General features: G+C 39.7%; 1 long non-coding RNA gene, besides 1 other annotated feature; it reads left to right on the top strand.

The window, feature by feature from the left end:
• The window catches only part of LOC105370777 (uncharacterized), a 556,255-nt gene that overhangs the window by 518,993 nt on the left and 12,875 nt on the right, over positions 1 to 24,387 (top strand).
• Positions 7,201 to 8,400: an enhancer, noted in NCBI's record as "CDK7 strongly-dependent group 2 enhancer chr15:39185869-39187068 (GRCh37/hg19 assembly coordinates)". NCBI's record gives its function as "activates an origin of replication core promoter dependent on BRD2, BRD4, P300/CBP, MED14 and CDK7 cofactors, with strong dependence on CDK7, by STARR-seq in HCT116 cells {active_cell/tissue: HCT116}" and the evidence as "EXISTENCE:reporter gene assay evidence [ECO:0000049][PMID:35650434]".

Raw genomic sequence — 24,387 nt, 5'->3', positions numbered from 1 at the left:
TTAATTAAACTCTTATGTTATTCATTTTTACGGTGCTGTTTCTTGACAATATCCTAAGAGATTCCATCTTATATAACATTAAAAATTGAAAAGCTACATACCCAGAGGAAATGAAATCAGTACCCTGTAGAGATATCTATACTCCCACATTCACTGTAGCATTATTCACAGTAGCCAAGATATACAAACAACCTAAGTGTCCATTGAGGGATGAATGGATAAAGAAATTGTGGTACATATATATAATGGAATACTATTCAGCCTTTTAAAAGAAGGAAATCTGCCATTTGTGACACGGATCAATCTGGAAGTCATTATGCTAAGTGAAACAAGCCAGTCACAGAAACAAAAATCGTGTATGATTTCACTGTGAAATCTAAAACAGACATCGAATACATAGAAAAAGCCAATAGCAGTGGCTCGCACGTGTAATTCCAGCTACTCAAGAGAATGAGGCAGGAGGATCACTTGAGGTCAGGCATTGGAGACCAGCCTGGGCAACATAGAAAACCCTGTATCTTTAAACAAATGAAAAAAAAAAAAAAATCAGTGGGGCGGGGTGGCGCATACACCTGTAGTCCCCACTGCTTGGGAGCTTAGGCATTCAAGGCTACAGGGAGCTAGGATGATCGTGCCATCGCACTTCAGCCTGGGCAACAAAGCAAGACCCTATCTCTTGGAGAAAAAAAAAGTATAGAAACAGAACTAGAACAGGGAGGGAGATTAAGTCTAGAGAGCTCATGTACAGCATGAGGACTGTAGTTCATAATAAACCGGATGAATTATACAACTGAGGAGGGGGTGAGAATGTTGTTAGAATAAAAAAGGCAAGGAAAGACAATATCAGCATGTGTACAACCTACAAAGTCGGGAATTTCCACGCCAACTTATATACAGTCATCCCTCAGCATCTGCAGCCAATTGTTCCAGGCAAACCCCCCACCTTTGCCCCGCCTCCAAAACCAAAATCAATGGATACTGAAGTCTCCAGTTTAAAATGGTATAGTATTTGCATATAACCTAGGCGTATCTTTCTGCACACATTAAATCATTTCTAGATTACTTATAATACCTAATACAATATAAATGCTATGTAAATAGCTGTCACCCTGTATTGGTGTATTTGTATTATATTTATTGTGCTATTTTTATTGTTATTTTTTTTTCAAGTATTTTCAAGCTACAGTTGCTTAAATCCAGAGATGTGAAACCTGCAAATACAGAAGGCTGACTGTATTGTGTAGTATATCGGAAATCAGCTAAGAAAGTAGCTTTTAGGTGATCCCACCTCAAAAAGTAACAATGGAAGATGATGGATAGGATAATTTGCTTGACTGTAGTAAACATTTCACTGTGTATATCACAACATGATGTTGGACACCTTCAATATATACAATGAAATAAGAAATTTGATACCAGGGAAGTACTGTAGAGATCCTTCCTCACCTTCATTGAAACCCCCTTCATGCTCTGTCCTTTCTCCCTCAGATTCCACATGCTGCACACTTCATATGCACATCGTTATTTCCCGCTGTCACCTCTGTGGCTCTTTATTCATATGATGAAGCCCTGCCTCTCCATCCTCCACCCGCTTCTACCCCTCCATGCCACCTCCACCTTTCACTCCCAGGACTGCCTGTGTCATCACCTGCATGGATTCTTTTCACTTCTCTGCCAGCTTCAAGGTGCTGCCTTGTAAGGTATTTTATTCTGCCAGCACCTCCAAAGGATATAATTTGTCTCCTTGCTGCACCACCAAATCATGATGATCCCACTCTTAAAGGTCCAAATAGGCCAGGTGCAGTGGCTCATGCCTGTAATCCCAACACTTTGGGAGGCCGAGGTGGGCAGATCATGAGGTCAGGAGTTCGAGACCAGCCTGGCCAACATGGTGAAACCCCCGTCTCTACTAAAAATACAAAAGAAAAAAAAATTAGCTGGGCTTGCTGGCAGGCACCTGTAATCCCAGCTACTTGGGAGGCTGAGGCAGGAGAATCGTTTGAACCTGGGAGGGGAGGTGGAGGTTGCAGTGAGCCAAGATTGCTCCACTGCACTCCAGCCTAGGCAACAGGGCAAGACTCCATCTAAAAAAAAAAAAAAAAAAAAAAAAAAGTCCAAATAACATTCTACTTCACTTGCAAAGCCTGCATTACAGAATCAAAAGCTGTAAAGCAGATTCTTTCACACTACTAACCTCAACACAACCAAATTGTCTTCGCTAGCTCTTCATGTGTGTTCCAAATTTGTACTCTGAATATATATTCAAGAGTCCATTTGCTTATTACCTATAGACACAGTTACTTGTTCTTGGGATAGCTGTGCCTTCTTTGCAAGGCACATTGTCATTGACAATGGGCACTCATTATTTGTTTCTGGGACTGCTAGTTAGAGCAAAGGGAAATGCATAGGCCTGCCTTCTCTCTCATCTCATTCTGTTATTAAAAGCGAGTCCTTAAGAGTTTGTCTCACTGGGTTCAATTTTCAACACACAGGCTATTCAAATGCTCATTCTACATTGAAATCAGCATGGAATGTGTAATAACAGGAAAGAGAAATATACAGACTCTCTGTGCTTGGCATGGCAATGTGTCACGTGGCTTGAAAAGGTATGTCTGGGAGTATCATATGGCTGTTACTCAGCCTGGACACAGAAGAGCTTTGTATGGCATCCCTCACTGTCCAGCCCCAAATAACAGATATTCAGCTGAGCTGGCTCACATTGACTGTGAGAAGTTTCAATCTAGTTAATGAAATATTTTTTCAACTGCAAAATATTCATTTTTGTCCAAAAGAAAAAAATTCAATCACTTATTTTTACTCCCAATCCAAGATCATGTTTCAATCTTTTGATTCAGAGGACCCAGGATTACACCTTAAATATAATAACTCATCTTCTTAATTTTCAAAGCATGATTGCTTGGAGTGCTCTCTTTTAAATATATTCTTATGTGATAATTAATTCCCATTAATTAAATGCTTGTAAATGCTACAACAACCCTATGAAGGAGGTACTATTTTTCAAATGTCAAAAAATGAGGCTTAGGATGTTGAAGAAACTTGCCCACATTCACAAAGTTAATATTTGGGGATCTTGAATTCAAATGCAAGGCTATCTAATTTCAGATACTGACAGTTTGGCTGTGTGTCCCCACCCAAATCTCACCTTGAATTGTAATAATCCCCACATGTCAAGGGTGGGACCATGTGGAGATAATTGAATCCTAGGGCCAGTTTCCCCCATGATGTTCTGGAGACAGTGAGTTCTCACAAGATCTGATGGTTTTATAAGGGTCTTCATTCTCTTGGCACTCATTCTCTCTCCTGCTGCGCCGCAAAGAGGTGCCTTCTGCCATGATTTTAAGTTTCCTGAGGCCTCCCCAGCCATGCAGAACTGAGTCAATTACACCTCTTTTCTTTATAAATTACCCAGCCTCAGGTATTTCTTCATAGCAGCATGAGAATGGACTAATACAGGTACCAAGTTTTTTTTACCACCATACTACTAGCCTGTTAGAATAGACCAGTGTTGACTGTCTTCAGTGAAAGACAAAACCGAGATGATTTATTCTAGAAGTGTTCTTATGACTTATTTTTCTAAGTCACCAAGAAAGCTGTACCACATAGCAATGGGATGGATTCATGAGCCAAGGACAGTATTCATATCATTTCAAGAGAAGGATAAGCAGAAAATCCTTGGAATAGCTTAGGAACCTAGGAGCCAGAAATAGCAAATCTCTTCTTGCTGCTTCATATCAGAGGTGATAGAAAACTGCACTGCCTCTTGGATCATGTACCCCCAGAAGACTGTCAATAAGAATTTTCCATGATAAAGTCAATTTCTGACAATCGCAGATTTTTCACCAAATCTCTGATTTGTCAAGCATTATTGAAGAGCTCTTTCAAGTTAAACTGATTTGGGGGAAGGGAGATGTCATTAAAATCAGTGGGATTAGCCACTTGGAAAATAGCAAAGGCTGGGAGGCTGCTACAAAAGAAGCTGGCAACACATGTGATTCTTTGGATCACTGGCCAGTCCTCATGGGTTTTCTCTTCAAAAGACACAGCCATAGCCATGAGAAAAAGAACCCAAACACAACACTCACAACAAAATTAAAGTTGTCCTAAAACTTGGCTTCCTTACTACTGGGACATAGGATCCAGATCTTATCCCATCCCACATCACTCAAAAAAGGATATTTTTTTCCCACAGTTTTACAACTTGTGAGGTTCTTTTTTCTAAAGATGTAAGAGAAATAAATTGAGAGGCTCTGCAGTTAACTTCCTGTTTTTCACAAATGCAGCTATGTATTTCTCTAAAAAGTCAACTGGAGCCATTTCACTATGAACTTTATCACTTGGGGAAAGAGCCAAAACAGCTATCAGGTCTTATATCTTCATCCGAGCTATTTATGTCTAGAAGCCAGTTATTTTAAGTGACATCAAATAAACAATTTAACCATGATAAACACTTGGGACACTCAGCTGCTGTCCCTCTCTTCTCATTAGTATGTGTAATCATATGCATGCATTGTATATAAATGACAACGATCCTTCAGAGTCAAAAAGACCTTGCCCACGGTGTTGTCCGCATGGAACTGTGACTGGATGCTTCAAAGCAGTGCTCTCTTCTCTAGGCATATGTGAGTATCCCGAACTGATGTGGCCACACTGGGGCCTTTTGAGATTCTGGCTGCCTACCACATTGCTCTAGAGTGGCTGATATTCCTTAATACCCCACAGTTTAGTCTTTAGGCCATTAATTAAGCTTCAGTTTTGTAGAGCTTGTCTACATATATATGTAGCTATGCTCTATGATGCCCCTACTGTATCCACTAACACATCTTTTAGCCTCTCAATACCTATCATGGTAACAGTCCCAAGAAAAAGTGGCTCAAACTTAGACTTTGGGTGGAATAATTCCTGCTATTGCTGATTGAAACAGGAATCATGGCATAAACCAAAGTAATCCTATCTAGGCCTATATATGCTATAAATGTATTAGAAAGGCCCCCAACTCAAAACTGGCTCAAATGCTGGCATACCAGCATGTTTCATATCAAATAGGCAAAAACCAAATCACATCCCTTGTTTGGAGAAGTATAAATACTTCAAGTCAGTGGATCACTTCAAGTCAGGCTGTTGTTGCAAACAAAGCAGAGGTACTCTGTTGAGTCTTATTTGTGAATCCTTGAGAACCAGAAGGATTGCTTCTGAAGCATTTCCATAATACCACACATTGCTGAGCTTCCGTGCAGCAATTGCCTGTGGTGAAGCAGACTTACACACATCTCTTTAAAGAGGCTAAGACATCATCTATTATTTCAGTCTCAAAAAAGATTGAGAGGCTTTCAATCTCAAATAAAAAGTAAATATTTTAATTCCATTTTAAAGATGGAGAAACAGGCTCAAAAAGCTTAAGTGGCTTGCCCAAAGCCCAAGAGGGAGTAAATGGAAGAGGCTCTATGTGCAGGGGGCAGTGTCATGTTCTTCAAAGCCATGATGCTGTCGGAGTCTCAAAGGCTAACCCTACATAAAAAGGAACAAAGAGGATGAGCAGGAGGGAATTGTTACCACTCAGGTTCCCCTCCTGGCCCAGTGCTGTTACACTGGCACCTCCTCCAGGACTGCAACTGTTGAATCCATCCTGGAATGGTTTATTTGCCCATCTTTAATCCATCTAAGCCCAGTTCTTTTAGATTTCCAAGTAATAATCCACTAACTGATGAAGACGTCCAGATTGCTGTGATGGAGCAGGGAGGCCTCCTTCCCTCTTGGGGCCATCATACTCCTCTAGGGCCCTGTCCAAAGCTCTGTCTTTGGACTTTTACTCTAATATTAAAGAATCAGTCATGGCAGAGAGGAAGGCAGTGTGATTGCAGGCTGATGGTGCTGATAATATTTTGGGATCAGTGAGGCCTTATGACATGCTTGGAGAGTATCCTGTATGACTACCTACTTGTGGTTAGCTTTGGTTGTTGAACATACGAACACACTATCATCATCCCCAGACATGTTTTTAATAATAAATAGTGAGGCATTCTCGCCAACATTTAAGGTTTGGGGGAAAAAAAAAAAAGCTCTAGAGAAAAATACTTTGAAAGGATGTTTTTGTAGGGCAGCCGCCTTTGCTGGTTGCTGTCAGCAGGGATGGCTATTAGCAGGACATCTAAGAAGCTGGAACAGAGAGTTATCCTGGGATTTGTCCCCTGCCTCTGGGAGGAAGAAGGTGATTAATGCACCCTGCAAGTAATAAAAGATCAGCTGAGAAACAATCCTGGGGCTTTGATAGACTCTACCAGCACCCCATAAATGAGACTAATAAAAAAATATCCATCGAAGAGGCTGGCACATGCAGGTCTCTCAATAAATGGGAGCTCTTATTGTTTCTTATACATTGATGAAAATAGCAGAAGAATCTCAGATGGTGATTTACTCATGGGAGCACTTGGCAGATTTCCACTGAATACCATACATTAGATAAAAACCCAGAAAGAAACCCTAGATAAACATTGGAGAGCCAAGAAAATAAAAGCAATTATCTAAAATGTGATTCCTGCCTCCAGTCACGCTAAGACTGTGTCTATTTTTACAGCATTGATCATAATCTGAAATTATCTTTGTTCACTGTGGTATCTCCAGAATCTAGAACAGTGCCTGCCTGGCATACAGTATGTGCCCCATAAATGTGCATTGAGTAAATACACAGATACATACTTACAGTGTTGAATGAATATATATCAAGTCAATCAATAACTATTTAGAAGCTCAATAAAGCTACATTTAGGCTATGTGACCTTGGACAGTCACTTGATGTCTCTTTGATTCATTTCTTCATCTATAAAGTAATTATAATACCAATCTCACCAGGTTGTTATGAAGATTAAATAGTTTAATACACATGAAAACAATGTATAAACCATTGGTACAAGGCAAGTATTAAGACTATTACAATAGAAATAAACAGAGTGAGATAATGGGATTATTATATACTTAAGACCTGAGCTTTACAGAACTGATCCCAATGGGAAGCAGGTCCTCATTTTGAGTCCCACTTTTTCTAAATGATTATTTAATAAGCATGCTTCTCCCTGATCTCAGAATGTGTATATATCTTTCCCACTGCCTATCTTGGCACTGTGCACATGTAACAATGTTAACGTCTTCTGCCTAACTCTTACTCATCCCTGAAGACCCAATTCAGGGGCTGCTTCCTCCCAGAATTTCCTGATGTTCTGCCTGAATTCTCCCAACTCCCACACTGTGACTAAGTTGGATCTTTCTCATCTGTAATCAGAAAACTGTTTTGCCTGTTTCTTTGCTTAATCATCAGGACTGGACCATGAACTCTTTGAGAATTGTGGCTTTCCTCTGATTATCATCTGAACCTAGAACAGTGTCTGATACAAAGAATTCAGTAAGTGTGGAATAAATTAATTATGAATGAATGAGAATTGGAAAGGCCTAAGTTTCCATGGGTCAGCATAGCAGAAAATTCCCTAAGGCAAGTTAATGGTTAATCTTCCAAATGTATTCTAAGTACTGACTCACAGACCTTCAGGAATGTGTGTCCTTGAAGGGGTTAGAAAAATGTCAAGTTGGGCATGGCTGTTTATCTATTAAATGATATTTCCCCCTTTTATTTTCCTTATATGTCTCCTCTAGCAATAAACAGGGTCTCTCTTCTTACCATGGCATGAATACAGCATAAACCACAAACTCCACACATTCCTTTTACTGAGGCAACTGTACATGTTTTCCACAACTGAAGCAAAAGAAAAAGAAGTTAGATGCAAGACGTAGAAGTCATCAGCAATTTCTTAAGGTCTCAAAGATTATTAAAGGAATTGACATTTGCAAAATCACTTTGAACTCTGGCATTCAGCAGCTTTTTGAATGTTCCATACAATGAAAAGTTCCATTCCCATAAAGTCAGAAATACCTTTCTGGGCTCATTTCACATCAGAATGCAATAAGGTTCATAAATGTCTCTGTGAAGTTTGAGTGTAATAAAGTTCAGCTATAAAACATTTAATATGCAACAGGCTTCTACACCAGCTGAAGCACTGACTCTGTTTAATGGGGCTCCCTTTACAGCATACTTCACCAGCAACAAGAAGAAACATTTTTAAAAATCTATAAATACCTGCAATACAACCATCAAAGTCTTTTTTATTCTTATTACAGATCAGGCTGAGGCAAACTGACATGCCTGATCACTCCACCCAAAGTATGTTCATAGAAAGCTCTTGTAACTCTGTCCCAAAGAACATTTAAAATCTACTTTGGATGTCTTTCAGCAGTTGATATTCTCCAGCAACTTCAGCAGCAGCCTCTCCTACAAAATGAGGGTTTTATTTTCCTTTGAGAACCAAAGAAGCAGGTTCCTTCCACCTGTCCAGAGTTGTTTGTGTATCTCCTCTTCAGCCCAGTCCAGGTCCCAGCACTGAGCCATTGGCCCCTAGATAGAGCAGTCATATTAACGGAGTTCAGTGAGTCCGTTCAGTTTGCAGTTTGGGTCTATAGTCCCAGGGTGTCTCTTTTCTAGAAATGACCACATCAGTCAACTAGGAGATCCCTCTTTCATTTCATACTTCTCCAAGGCTGACAGGAATGCATCTACAATGATTTAAAAGAAAACTACAAAGTTCACTTTCTCACTGTATTCATGTTTCTATGGAAATGTCTTCATCACATATAGCCTTTCCTGACTACGCTGATTAAAATCACTCCCCAATTAGACTATATCCCCTTATCCTGTCTTATTTTTTATTCCTTTTATAATCCCTCACTTGTTGTTTGTCTCTCCTCACTAGGATGTAAGCCCCGTGGAAGCTGGGACTTTATTTCACTCACTCATTGCTATGTTCTCAGGAATTACATTATTTCTTCTTCTTAAATTCCAAGTAACACGTGCAGGATGTGCAGGTTTGTTACATGGGTAAACGTGTGCTGTGGTGATTTGCTGTACCTATCAACCCATCACGTAGGTGTTAAGCCCAGCATGCATTAGCTATTTTTGCTGATGCTCTCCCTCCCCCTGCCCCCCACCCCCAACAGGCCCAGTGTATGTTGTTCCTCTCCCTGTGTCTATGTGTTCACAGTGTTCAGCTTCCACTTATAAGCGAGAACACATGGTGATTGGTTTTCTGTCCTGTGTTAATGTTCTGGAAGCCATTATCCTCAGCAAACTAACATGTCCAGCTCCATCCATGTCCCTGCAAAGGACATGATCTTTTTCCTTTTTATGGCTGCATAGTATTTCACAGTGAGAATGTACCACATTTTCTTTTTACAGTCTGTCATTGATGGGAATTTGGGTTGATTCCGTGTTTGCTATTGTGACTAGAGCTGCAATGAACATATGCATGTCACGCATGTATCTTTATAATAGAATGATTTCTATTCCTTTGGGTACCTACCCAGTATTGGGATTGCTGGGTCAAATGGTATTTCTGGTTCTAGGTCTTTGAGGAATCACCACACTGTCTTCCACAATGGTTGAACTAATTCACATTCCCACCAACAGCGTAAAAGCATTCCTATTTCTTCGCAGCCTCGCCAGCATCTGTTGTTTCTCGACTTTTTAATAATCACCATTCTGACTCGCATGAGATGTTATCTTATTGTGGTTTTGATTTGCATTTCTTTAATGATCAGTGATGTTGAGTTTTTTTTTATATGTTTGTTGGCCACCTAAATGTCTTCTATTGAGAAGTGTCTGTTCATGTCCTTTGCCCACATTTTAATGTGGTTGTTTGCTTTTTTATCTTGTAAATTTAAGTTCCTTGTAGATTCTGGATATTAGATCTTTGTCAGATGAATAGATTGCAAAAATTTTCTCCATTCTGTAGGTTGTTCGTTTGCTCTGATAGTTTCTTTTGCTGTGCAGAAGCTCTTTAGTTTAATTAGATCCCATTTGTCAATTTTTGCTTTTTTGCAATTGCTTTTGACATTTTTGTCATGAAATCTTTGCCCCTGGCTATGTCTTGAATAGTATTACCTAGATTTTCTTCTGGGGGGTGGTGGTTAGAGTTTGGGGTTTAACATTTAAGTCTTTAATCCATCTCGAGTTAATTTTTGTATAATTTTTGTATATGGTGTAAGGAAGGGATCAATTTTCAATTTTCTGCATATGGCTAGCCAGTTCTACCAGCACCATTTATTAAATAGGGAATCCTTTCCCCATTACTTGTTTTTGTCAGGTTTCTCAAAGATCACAGATGGTTGTACATGTGTGGTCTTATTTCTGAGTCCTCTATTCTGTTCCATTGGTCTATGTGTCTGTTTTTGTACCAATACCATGTTGTTTGGATTACTGTAGCCTTATAGTATAGTTTGAAGTTAGGTAGAATGATGCCTCCAGCTTTGTTCTTTTTGCTTAGGATTGTCTTGGCTATTGGGGATCTTTTTTGAATCCATATGAATTTTAAAATAGTTTTTGGAATTAGAATTATTTCTAACACCTGGTTGATACTCAAGAAATGCCTGTTGAAATTGGGCATTGTGGCTTATGCCTGTAATCCCAGCACTCTGTGAGGCTGAGGTGCGTGGATCACTTGAGGTCAAGGAGTTCAAGACCAGCCTTGCCAACACGGTGAAACCCCATCTCTACTAAAAATACAAAAATTAGCCAGGTGTGGTGGTGGGTGGCTGTAAGGAGGCTGAGGCAGGAGAATCGCTTGAACCCAGGAGGTAGAGGTTGCAGTGAGCCGAGATTTCTCCACTGCACTCCAGCCTGGGCAACAGGGTGAGACCCTGACTGAAAAAAAAAAAGGAATGCCTGTTAACTTTAGTATGGATGAAAGAATGAATGAATAAATGAATGAATGACAAAGGCAGGAAGTTGTGGACAAATTGTATAAAGGAAAACTACGGAAGCCCAAATTGTAGTTAGCCCATATCCAAACACCATGTACAGTCACATGCCTCCCTGTTTCTATTCATGTTGTCCCCTCTGCCTGTGATGTCCCAGCTCCCTGCAAAGGTACCTGTCCTTTAACACAGTGCCAATATCACCTACTCTCTGAAGCTGCCACAACCCTCACAAGGCAGACAATCATGCCCCCTCTATGTTACAAGTGCATTGTAAACTTATCTCTATAAAATCCTTTTAACAAGGTACCCCCACCGCATATGCACACACACATATACACACACCCCTGCTGCCTCCTATATAAGACAGCATGTTTTCTAAAGACACAGCCTGGTATACAACAGTGTCACACAACATATACTGGTTGGGCACTGACTGTTTAAGGCACTTAGGATACGTCAGTGAGCAAAATACACAAAGATCCCTAACTTCATTGAAATTATACTCTAATAAATGTGAACTAAATATTTGTTTCAAAAATGGATTTTCCTTTATGATAGCTGGCTCAGCCTTCTCATCCATGAACTCAGCATTTTACTTTCTACATCAAATTGCTTGCAAAGGAGAGATATTTACTGAGGAGACAAGGGGAAAGATAAGTCTTTCTTTTTTAAGGGTTTCACCATTGAGCGCCATTTCAAAGGTTAGATTTAGAAACTCAGCTTTTAGATAGCAAAAAGAAAAAAAAAAAAGAAAGAGAAGGAAGTGAGGAAATCAATGTTTTCCTTAGGAATAGGGTGAGGTCAGCAGCATAAAAAACACCCATGACAGCAGGACCACAATAGGAAGTCAAGGCAGAGGGCCTTGACCCACTGCTCATTCCAGTTCCATCCCTGCAGCTATGAGAACCAAGCACTATGACTGGTCCCACAGCACCCATGGAAATCAACCTGAGATTACACCTTGTGTATACGAAGCTTGGGAGCATTACTTGCAAGTGACGGTAACTAGTGGTTAAACCCATGATCAATACATATACATTCTGGTGTGATGGTTTTGTTTTGTTTTTTTTTTAAATATAAAGAAGGCACTGAAGGAGGGGTTCTTTGGACTGAAATATTTGAAGGCCAAAGAAACTCAAAATTATTCAAGATGTTAGAAAATCTAGGCTTTCCTACATGGCCTCTACATATAAAGGCTTGCTCTTTTCATCACTGACATCTCCCTGCCCTATCAATAAATTGTCAATATTCTCTAAATCTCAAATCAGAACAGGTCATGCGTCAAACAGAGGTGGACCTACGGTACAGAGAGTCTGCAGGTTTGAAATAAGAACTATCCCATGAGATATAGATTAGGTGCACTATAGCAATAGAAAAGTGCCCCAATCTTAATAACAGGCTTCTGCTGGGGAATACAGGAAACAAAATTAATGCTTTACCTAGCGTCTATTTCCACATCCATTAAAAAGGTAATGCATTAGTTTTCAAATATTCAAACTGACATAGGCTAAAGAAAATAATAGAATTTTAGGACCAGCAAGGTCTGTAAATCCTCTCATCCTCCCTTCCACCTAGTGCCTGCACCTTTCCTGAAACAACCCTTTTGTGTTAATACCCAGCTTCTTTTGAACATCTTCAGGGTAGATTACTCGTTGTGCATTTGTCATAAAACTTCCTTACACATCCCCCAAAGATATTTAATAGCTGATATTTATATATCTGCAAGGACATATATTGATCTGGGGAAAAAAAGAACTTTTAAAATTCTGATTTCCAAATGTTTCTTCAAAAGAGAAACATTCAGTGAGACTAAAGGGCGGGGGCTGCCCAAATGGGATCCAGACACCCCAGCACAATGCTCTCTTCTGTGTCTCATAATCACAAGAGGAATTAACTAGGGGTTAATTCAATCTATGTAATGTTCTCAGAGGAGGAAAGAAATAACTTTCCCCCTATTTTTCAAGCTATTTACCTTCATGTCCCTTGGAACCTTTTAAATAACATTACTTGAAAATCCAGTCTGTAAGCTGCCTTTGGCTCCAAAAATCATTAAAGAATTTATAAGCTGTTTTCTCTCCTATCCCTGGAGCTGCTGCCAGGGGAAGCAAAATCCAGACATTTGCAACTCAACACCAGTGAGTGCCTGGTTAATCTGATCAATGAGGAGGCAGCAGTTGCAGTCACCTTTGACACAGGGCATCTGACAGGCGGTGACACTCTATTCTTAATAGTGCTACCACAAGGCACTCGCCTGGCCCCCATCCAGCATGGTGGAGCTCTGGGTTTTAGGGGGTGAAGACTTCCAGGCCAGGTACCAGTCCAGACAAGGCCGACCTCTCCTGTCTGCCAGGGCCTCTCTGGAAAGCCCAGAAGGACAGACTGTCTTGGGAGGCTTCTGATATTTCCTGCTGGTGACGTCCAAGCGATGATGGCAATGGCATGCAATGTTCACCTGAGGCCCTTGGGGTAGTATATAACCCTGTCAGGGCAGTCCAAACAAATGTCCCAATTTAATCATCTAGTGCTAATGGTGGCATTTGGGATCTCATAAATCATAATAAAAAAGTTTTCTGCCTGAGCTCCTCAGAGAGTTTCCAACAACAGAGCTTTAGCCAGGCCTGTGCAAAGCCAAAGAATTCTCTTTAGTCACCTGCTTGTGATGGCAAACCTGAGGAAGCCTGTGTCCTGGGAAATATTCAGCAGTGCAGGGACCACAGCAGTGGAGGCAGTCCTTGTCTACTTGGGAGAGTCAGCCTTTGCCTCACCTTCCCAACTCTCAGTCAGGGAAGGATTTCTCAAGTAGGTTGTGGAAGGGAGATGGCAACAGTGGTCTTTTAGATTTTCTCATTCCATTTATATTTTTCAATTTTTAGATTCCCTCTTCACCTAAAACTTATCTTAGAATTCTTGTGAGAGCAAGGGGTTCTTAGAAATTTGGATATCAAAATAGAATAGGGCTCTCTCCTCTTTTATCTGACAAAAAAAAAAAGCATATGTATTAAAGTGTGTGTAGACCACATAAACACACACACTAAATTTATTGGTCTAAACAATATATAGCACTCAATTTATAATGGATACTCAATGAAAGTTAGTTATCATCATAAAAATAAATAAAATAAATGGATTGGGCTGAACCAACTCTCCTAGTTTTCACCAGTCTGATATCACTTTTGCCTAATTTATATTTTTTATGAGGAGGAAATGATGGGTCTCCTTAGCTGTAAGAATGACAATCTAGGCAGTTAAGATTGTTTAACCTATTTATTTTATTTAGTAGAATGAAAAAAGTGGTTAAGATGGCCCACTCAGCCAGAAGTGGTGGCTCACGCCACCCCGTCTCTACAAAAAAATACAAAAATTAGTCGGGCATGGTGGCGCATGCCTGTAGTCCCAACTACTCAGGAGGCTGAGGCAGGAGAATCGCTCGAACCTGGGAGGCAGAGGTTGCAGTGAGCCAAGACTGCACCACCGTACTCCAGCCTGAAAGAGCAAGACTCTGTTTTAAAAAAAAAAAAAAAAAAAAAAAAAAAATGACCCACTCAGTTATTTCACTGACACATAGTGAAGAGCTTGACTGGGGCTGGGCATATTTCAAAGAAAAGTATATGAATATCTTTAAAGGACTAACACCCCATTCTTTCAGAAGAGCGTTGAGACACATTGTCAGTGTCATGATATGAATGGCCCACACCATCCAGACCATCAAGTCCCCCAACCTTGGTCATCTACAGTGACAGGTTATTCTTTACTTGCTTCATACATATTGGTCTTAACTTGCCTAAGAAATAGCGCTAGTTCACTAAGAGCAGGAGTCAAGTCTTGTGCTGCTTCTCTATCCCCAGTAGCAAAGTATGACAGTGAAGTGTCTCAGTGACATCCACCAGAAGACGTATCAGGACTCAGTAAAGGAAAATCCCCCTCTATGAAGAGCATGTAGCTCCCCGGGATAGATTAAATTCACTCCTAGCTAGAGGCCTGGGTTGAGGTGTAGACTCAGATGCTAGGGCTAAAAGCGAAATGGAGACAGGAAGTAATGATACAGCAGCTTGAACAGTGAGCTTACTGGAATTCTTTCATTTCTACGTTTATCTCAATAAGTGTCTTTATCCTCAGCAAAGGCTGCCTGCCATGTGTCATCAAAACTCAATTCCTTTTCCTCCTAGACATGCAAGTAAACTAAATTCCCTAGCCTCCCTTGCAGTTATAAGTGGCCATGTGATGAAATATTTAACCAATGCAAGGTTAGCAGAAGCAATGTGTACCATTAACAGACCCCACTGATAAAACCCTCCCACAGGCAACTCCCTCTTCTCTCCCCAGGCATCAAGTGAATAGAGAAGATTCTATGGATGTAGAAGAGGTCCCTGGGTTTCCGAATTGCCACTGGATTGCCTCTATCAAATACACAAGAGTTTCATGAGTGAGAAATAACCTTCTGTTGCTTTAAATCTTGGGTTGTGCAATACATCAGTGAGCCTACCATGACTAATACATTCTATGGATGCAGATTTCTCTTCTCTGGCCATTGACATGAGTGTGCTTTCTGGATGCAGGTTGGTGTATATTGCTATCATTTTCTGCCTTCTCATGTTTGATCTGGCTCTTAACCAGTTATTTTTGGTAAACACTTTATACAACAACCTCCTTTCTTCTAGAGATTTCCAGTTTCCTTGAAATGAACTTTAGTTATGAGTAACATTAAAAATGTCTCTGTGTTCTGCACATGGGCACAGGGAAGGGAACAACACACACTGGGGCCTCTCAGGGGGTGTAGTGGGGTGGGAAGAGGGAGAACATTAGAAAAAGTAGCTAATGCATGCTGGGCTTAATACCTAATGGGTTGATAGGTGCAGCAAACCACCACGGCACACATTTACCTAGGTAACAAACCTTCACATCCTGCACATGTACCCCAGAACTTAAAATTTAAATTTAAAAAAAACTCTATGTTCTGTAAGCTTTCTCTTATAGAACACAGAGCTATTTTAAACTTAACCACTCCCTCCCCACTTAAAACTATTAGTGGGGAGGGAGTGGTTAGGAGTGGAAATAAGAGAAAGGGGTTGTAGACAAAGCCATAGAGAAGAGTCATATTCAAGAAAAACTTTTCTTATCTCCGAATAGAAGTCACTGATTAACTGCTCTTCTTGCTGAAACAAACTGTGAACCAGAAGCTAAGACTCACCTTAATACTTAGGAAAAATAATTTGGCCTTCCCTTCTGTTTTGAACACAGGAAGGAATGGCCACGTATCTTTGACTTTGAAGACAACTAGAATTTCACGTATTATTCCGGGAGCAAAATCAACCCCTCTGTGAGAAAGAGAAAGGTGGAAACAGAGCATTTGGGCTTGGGAAGAGAGTAGTTGCTATGCAGAGCTCATTGTTTACTGAGCATCTCTATAACATATGCCTTATGGGAGGTAGGAGATGAGTGAAAACAAAAATAGACTAGGTTAGACACAGAGTTTTTATAATAATTACTAAGAAGTGCCAGTAAAATTTACTGTTGATCCAGTTTACTGTAAGCTTCGTGTCCTTAACACCATCATAAATGATGAACAGATTAACAGAATGTAAACAAATTCTTCTCAGAAAACTTTTTTTTTCTTTTTTTTTAAGTCACAGGGGACCCAAGATTCTTGGACAGAATTCTCGCCGGGAGCCAACTCAGCCTGATCTGCTGGCATCTCTCAAGTATCAGAAGTCAACAAAATGGTTTGCCTTGAAGACTTGGCCAGAGCAGCAGCCAAAGTTCATAAGGCTTTCGTAGAGAGATTGTTTGTCTAAGAAAACAAAATTCTAAGGGCTCCCATTGTGCAGCTGGGGTGGCAAAATGCAAACTAATATAAGGAAAAAAAATGCTTTTCATTTCCATGGAAGAAATGACCCATCCTATTGTTGATATTTCCTTTTCTGTGCTAACTTATTCCATTAATTAGGCTCTCGTTTTATGAGATAATTTCACTGCATGCGTATCTTCTTTTGGTTATTACACAAGGACTGTTTTCTATGGTTCATATCTAAGTCCAACCCTGGAAAAATCTTTTTTTTTGAGACAGCCTTTTTTGTTTTGTTTTGAGACAATACTCCCTCTGTTGCCCAGGCTGGAATGCAGTGGTGAGATCATAGCTCACTGCAACTTCTGCCTCCTAGGCTCAAAAAATCCTCCCACCTCAGCCTCCCAAGTAGCTGGGATTGCAGGCATATGCCATCACACCCGGCTAATTTTTGGATTTTTAGTAAAGTTTTGCCATGTTGGCCAGGCTGATCTTGAACTCCTGCCCTCAAGTGATCTGCCCACCTTGACCTCCCAAAGTGCTGGGATTACAGGTGTGAGCTACTGTGCTCAGCTCAGCCATGGAACAATCTTGATGTATAATTTATCTGCAGGTATCTCCATCTCTATTTGCCACTCTTAGTAAATGTTTTAGTTTGACAGTAAACGAGTTGAGACATTAATGATTGAGAGAGCACCTAAGCAGCTCGAAGTGCTGGGAGTCTCTCCTAAAGAATTAGATGCACACAGCATTTTTCCCTTACAGACACTTCACTGAGCAGTCATGTTGGACTTGGGTGGCGTCTGCTATTAGACACACTATTCACCAATAAAACCCTGAAAATTGCATTGCACAGGACTGATAAAAATAAGATGACTTAAGAAACGTATTTATGGTATATATACACAGAAAAAGAATGAAAGTTTGAGGGGGTATTGCCTCTGGGAGGAAGAGTTATGAGTAGTTTGTATTTCCTTTTTTGTTAATCTGTATTTCATTTTTTAGGCAATGCAAATATATTATTTAGACAACAAAATACTTATTAGAAAGAAAAGACATGGTGGGTTTTTTCCCCTTTATTCTTTGCTTTTCTAAGAGGAAACTTTGACTGCAATTGCTTGTGAGTGATACCTGTGTTCTGGTAGCTTAGGAAGACACAATGTGGTTAGGGAAGGATAAGAACAGATGGCTTTAATAAATGTACTCAAGGCTAATGTACCCTTCATAGTCTCAGGCTTCAGATCAGATCTCTTATCTATGCTGGCACCAGGATGTGGTTTTGAGTTCTCTGCTTTTTCTACAGCTTTAGGGAAATCTGCATGCAGGCACATCTAATTGTCCAAACCAAAAATCACATCCAGGATGTGAGGCAGCCTGGGAGAGGTCATTTTGAGTTCTGTAGTCTCCGAAGTATAAAAACACATAAACATGTATACATACACACATTAACACCCACACACTTTTGAAGGAAGATGGAATGGAAGACAAGCACCACAGTGAAACTTTAGAAGAATTTCCCTTACATTCAGGAAAAAAAGATAGAGGGTCCATTTTCATCACTCTTATTGCCATTGTCTAGAAGATAAGCCGTAATAAGATAAAATAAAAAGTGTATAGAACACTTGGAAAAAAATATAAAAGATTGGTCCCATTCTCCGATGGCATGATATTCAAATGAAGAACCAACTATAAACAGGTTGTTATGAGCTGAATGTTAATGTGACCCCAAAATTCATATGCTGAAATCTTAACCCCAAAGGTGATAGTGTTAGATGGTGAGGCTTTTAGGAGTTGACACAGTGTAATGCCTCTTCTATGAAGAAGTGGGCCTTTGTCAGTTACCAAATCTGCAGAGGCCTTGATCTTGAACTTCCCAGCCTCCAGAGCTTGGAGGAATGAATGTTTATTGTTTGTAAACCACCCAGTTTATGGTATTTTATTAGAGCTGCTCAAAGGGTCTAAGACACAAGTATAAGTCATAAGTAAATGCATCAAATTTGCTGAATATAAATCAACATATAAAAAATCAACAGCATGCTTGGATCCCTGGTATGAATCACATCTGGTCATGGCAAATAATCTAAAAAAAAATAATAAAATAATCAATTTAAAAAATTTAAAAAGCAACAGTATTTACTATTCATTGCCAATGACCAATTAGAAAATGGCATAAACATGACATCTGTGATAAGACAAATACTCTAAGGTAACTAGAACTACAAGTAATAAAAGATGTGTACAGTTTACAGAGACGATTGTAGAAAGCCAAAAAAAATTAAAAGTGAAAACCTAAATGGGAAGAAGCATCATGTATATTGGGTCATAGTAGATATCATAATATAAATTATAAAATACAGAACAAAATGATATAAAATACTAAATTTCAAAATGTGTTGGATATAGCTAAAGCAGCACTAAAGAGGAATTTATAGGTTTAAATACACGTATTGGGGGAGGAAAGAGATAAAGTTTGATATGGCGGTAAGCATCCACTTAGGGAAAAGTACAAAAAGAAAATAATAGTAGAAAGTAATAAAATAGAAAATATAAAAGAGGTTTTTTAAAAAATACTTACAAAATGGACAGTCTTTATGGGGATTGAACAAGAACAAAGAAAGAAGGCACTGATAACCAATGTCAAGGATATGGAAGTGGATATGTGGATATAACTAAAATGCTGCAGTTATTCGAGATAAGAGTATTATAAGTAACTGTAAGATAACACATTTAAAAACTTGGTCGAAATGGTCAAATTTGTAGAAAAGTATATCTCAACAAAACTGATTCAAGAAAAATAACCCATTAAAAAATAAATCAGCAGTTACCTTTTATTTATTTATTTTTGACAAGAAAATATCAAATGGTTTTACTGGCAAGATCTGCCAAATATTCAAGAAACAAGTAATTTCAATTTTGGACAGAATTTTCCAGAGAAGAGAAAATGGGAAGAGGGTTGTTCCTCATTTTATGAAGCTAGTATACACATCAGTGCCAACATTTGACAAGGGAAGTTTGAAAAAGGAAAATCACCGACTAATCTCTCCCATGAGCAGAGACTTAAAAAATTCTAAACAAAATATTTGCCAACCAAATCCGAATATAGAAAGGATTGTACACCATGATCAAGTTGAGCTCATCCTAGGAATGTTTCCTTTATGGTAACATTCGGGAAAGCAAAATACATGGGTGCACATGCAAGAGGTAGGAGATTGAGACTGGGAGTCTGTAGAACTTCTGATTTCATCCATTTTTTGCAAGTGAATTAGATTTTCTTTAAAAAGGTTATTGGGTGAAGGCGCAGATAGAGGAGCAGGTCTTGGAGATTTAAGGGGAAAGGAAGTATGATACAGTCTTCTAGAAGACTGGAAGAGTAAATGGAATATAGCGTGATTGCATTGGGGCTCCTCTGAGCTTTATGGGCATGAATTTAAAGATTATTTGAGGCCCTGGTTTGTGCAGTAAGAAAAATTTTGTTTAGGGATTAGGAAGGAAGAAATAAAACTAAAAATCTCCCATTATTCACAGATGACATGATGATTCTTATAGAAAACCCAAAAGATATTACTACATCAATATAGAAAACTCAATTACATTTCTTTATTTTTCTTTTTCTTTTCTTTTTTTTTTTTTTTTGCTTTAAGTTCTAGGATACATGTGCAGAACGTGCGGGTTTGTTACATAGGTATACATGTGCCACGGTGGTTTCCTGCACCTATCAACCCGTCATCTAGGTTTTAAGCCCAGAATGCATTAGGTATTTGTCCTAAAACTCTCCCTCCCCTTCCCCTACTCCCCCCAACAGGCCCTGGTATGTGATGTTACCCTCCCTGTGTCCCTGTGTTCTCAATGTTCAACTCCTACTTATGAGTGAGAACATGCGGTGTTTGGTTTTCTGTTTCTGTGTTAGTTTGCTGAGGATGATGGTTTCCAGCTTCAGCCATGTCGCTGCAAAGGACATTAACTCATTCGTTTTTCTGGCTGCATAGTATTCCATGGTGTGTAGGCGCCACGTTTTCTTTATCCAGTCTGTCATTGATGGGCATTTGGGTTGGTTCCAAGTCTTTGCTATTGCAAATAGTGCTGCAATAAACATATGTGTGCATGTGTCTTTATAGAATGATTTATAATGCTTTGGGTATATACCCAGTAATGGGATTGCTGGGTCAAATGGTATTTCTGGTTCTAGATCCTTGAGGAATCACCACACTTTCTTCCATAATGGTTGAACGAATTTACACTCCCACCAACCATGTAAAAGCATTCCTATTTCTCCATGTCCTCACCAGCATCTGTTGTTTCCAGACTTTTAAATGATCATCATTCTTACTGGCATGATATGGTATCTCATTGTGATTTTGATTTGCATTCCTCTAATGGCCAGTGATGAGTTTTTCTTATGTTTTCTGGCCGCATAAATGTCTTCTTTTGAGAAGTGTCTGTTCATATCATTCACCCACTTTTTAATGGTTTTTTTCTTGTAAATTTAAGTTCCTTGTAGATTCTGGATATTAGACCTTTGTCAGATGGATAGATCGCAAAAATTTTCTCCAATTCTGTAGGTTGCGTGTTCACTCTGATGATAGTTTCTTTTGCTGCGCAGAAGCTCTTCAGTTTAATTAGATCCCATGTGCCAATTTTGGCATTTTTTGAAAATGCTTTTGGTGTTTTAGTCATGAAGTCTTTGCCCATGCCTATGTCCTGAATGGTATTGCCTAGGTTTTCTTCTAGGGTTTTTATGGTTTTAGGTTTTATGTTTAAGTGTAAGGAGGGATACATTTAAGCCAAAAAGGACAGTCTACATCTCTGCTTATTGTCCCAAGGCAGCAGAAATACAATTCATAGATCCCAACACTTAGCCTTCCCCACCCTAGTCACACAGCATCCCTCAGCCTGCCAAGGGAATTGGTTCTGCAGACACGAGGGATTTGCCCGGGGATAAAGACCCCTTCTGGTTCAGACATCAGGAGATACAAATGCAATACACCACAGCTGACACAACTGGACATCTTCAGTGTTGCAGTCTCACCCTATCTCTCTGCTTGCCAGCTCCAGCTCATCGGGCCAGTTATGAGAAGGAAAACATATTTTCTAAAAGCTTTCTTAAGTGTTCACATGGCCAGCTGCCCTTGTTTGTTCTCCTGAGTACTGAGGTCACTGGAAGCCACAAAACCCAGCTGGGACCACTTCAATGAGTTATGCTCCAGGGAAAATTATGGTGTGAAAAGGTAAAAGGAAATTTTGGAAACTGGTGGAATCTTCATGGAAGTGTCACCCTGGGCTAATACCAAGGATCTGACATAGACAAAAGTATGAATTACTCTGCAGGCTCAGCGCCAAGGGCAAGGTCGTAAGAGCCTGAGATGGTCTTAACAAATTAAGTGAGGCAGGCAAAGTTCAGTTGCTTACTGTGAGCTGGACCCTTCTACATTATTATTTTTATCATGGAGTCCAATGTCCCCATGTTGATCCTAACAAGCCAAGTCCCACATTGCATCATCCCACATGGGCCGGCCTTCTCTGGGCAAAACTTCAAGATGTGAAACTCCTTTTTTCTCCTCTCAAAATGTGCCAGTCCTGAGTCTCCTGTATTGGGTTCATTAATGTTAACATACTTTTTCTGGTCTGCTACAATGATCCAGGCACTGCACTATAGTCCAAAGGCACAAAACAATAAATTAGACTTGCCCCTTGTTCTCAGGACTGAAAATGGTTCCATTCACCAAAAAAACAGGTGAAAGTTTACCCAGCACCTAAACCTGTACTAATGTATTAATTAATGCATCACAGTTTATTTATTCTACACTTATTTTACTTGCCCCTGTAATATACCACTAGATGCTTCAGTATGGGAGATATTGAACTCTAAAGTTCTAAGGGTGCTGTGGTGGAGATATGGACATATCTCAAAATTAGCAGGAAATTTAAATAGCGATTTTAAGAGAAAGTAAGATCTGGTTATGAGAAAGGATGAAGCTACTCTGGGTGAGAGAAAACTGAGAACTATGCCCTAGGAATATCCAACATTTAAAGTGTAAACAAAGAAAGTAAAGACAGAGATGACAACTGAGAAAGAGTGGTAGTCACAGGAGACTCAAGTGAGTGTAGCTGGAAGATGTCATCAGAACCCTAGTTAATAACATGTGGTCTACCATTGCTACAATACAATGCCCTCCAGCCATCTCAGGCAGGTGGGCCTTTACTTTCCTCAAATTACATTCACAGATGAACAACCCATGCTCTATGAAGGAGTCGGGCCTGCATACTATCCTTCCCAATGAGGGAGATGTGACAGTTCAGGATTCAGGAAAGGACCAAATGGACTCACCAGGCAAGTGTGCTTTAGGATGGAGGGCAGGGTTGGCTCTGTGCCAGGAGTGTAGATTTCATCTGTTGGCTGCAAATGTGTGCCAGTTCCCAATGGAATGCTACTGTTCTCTGACCTGCCCTCAACTCATAACACAAGTCACAATTCACTGGAGTTTCACAGTACGTTTCTGTGGATGTTTGGAATCAGAAATGCAGACTCACAGAATAGCTGTATAGGATTTAAAGAGAATCGGCAGAGTTCAGGCTGCTCATTTTACAGAGGAGGAGGCTGAGTCTGAAGACTTACTAATTTGGCCAGGGTTGCATGGCAGTTTAGCAGAGTAGTTAAACAAATGGGCTTGAAACTCAAAGAGTCCCTGAGAATCTTAAATTGTGTGCCTTAGGCAAGTCTGCTAAAACTGCTATGTCTCAGTTAACTCCTCTTAAAACTGAGTAAGAATAACATATATATATATATATCATATATTATGATACATGATATATACATAATTCATGTATTATATCATGATACATGATATATATGTATTATTCATGTATATGATACATGATACATATATCATGTAACCTATGATATATATCATATATGAAGATTATATATATATCTCAGAGGTTATTTGTAAGAGATGAGATAGTGAATTCAAAGCACTTAGCATGACAGCTAGCATATGGTGACACAGCTATCATGCAAAGCCAAGTCTTCTGACTCGTACTTTAGTGCTCTTTCCTCTGAACCATGATCCCTCCTTTAAATAGAGAAGTTAAAAATGAACTTACAGAGACATTCTATGTGTACCAACCCAACACTATAGCACTTGATTTATGCATTCATTTTTATAACAACTATCATTTGAGCATCTATGTACCAGGGTGCTGATGTAACCATGCTGAGTGCTGAGGTACTCATGCTGAATCAGATGTGATCTCTTCCCACTAAGGAGAGAGAAGATTGTGCCTATGGTAGCCAGGAATGAGGTGCACTTGCAAGGAGTAGGGAGGAGTGGGGAGAGTCTAGAGGCAAGGAGATGAGATAGAAAGTTCTTGCCCTAATTTAGGCAAGAGGCAGCAGGGTCCTGAATTACCTTGGAGAAAATGGAAATTAGGGGAAAGGACAAAGAAATGAGGTAGGAACATGAGACTTACCCTTGACACATGATTATTATGTTTATGAAATATTTGTTTTTGTGTTTCTGACAAGCAATTTGCCTCCAGAATTGCCAAATGAGTCTGGTTGTTACTCCAGACTCAAGGTAACATCTGCTTATTGCTAGTGCATAGACCAGGGCAGGTGATGGGCTTTAGGCCTCTTATCTAGCGTCTTACACAAAATTGCAAGTAGACCCAGAATTACTAGTGCCAGGGCTGCAGAAATAGGAACTGTTTAGCCAGGTCTATGACCATCTGTTTTCCCTCCTGCCAAATGCATCGAGGGCATGATAGATCTGGCTTAGATGGTAACAAAGTGA

This window comes from Homo sapiens, chromosome 15 (genome assembly GCF_000001405.40).
Source record: "Homo sapiens chromosome 15, GRCh38.p14 Primary Assembly".
NCBI classification, from domain to species: Eukaryota; Metazoa; Chordata; class Mammalia; order Primates; family Hominidae; genus Homo; species Homo sapiens.
This window is presented reverse-complemented; position numbering and strand designations above follow the sequence as displayed.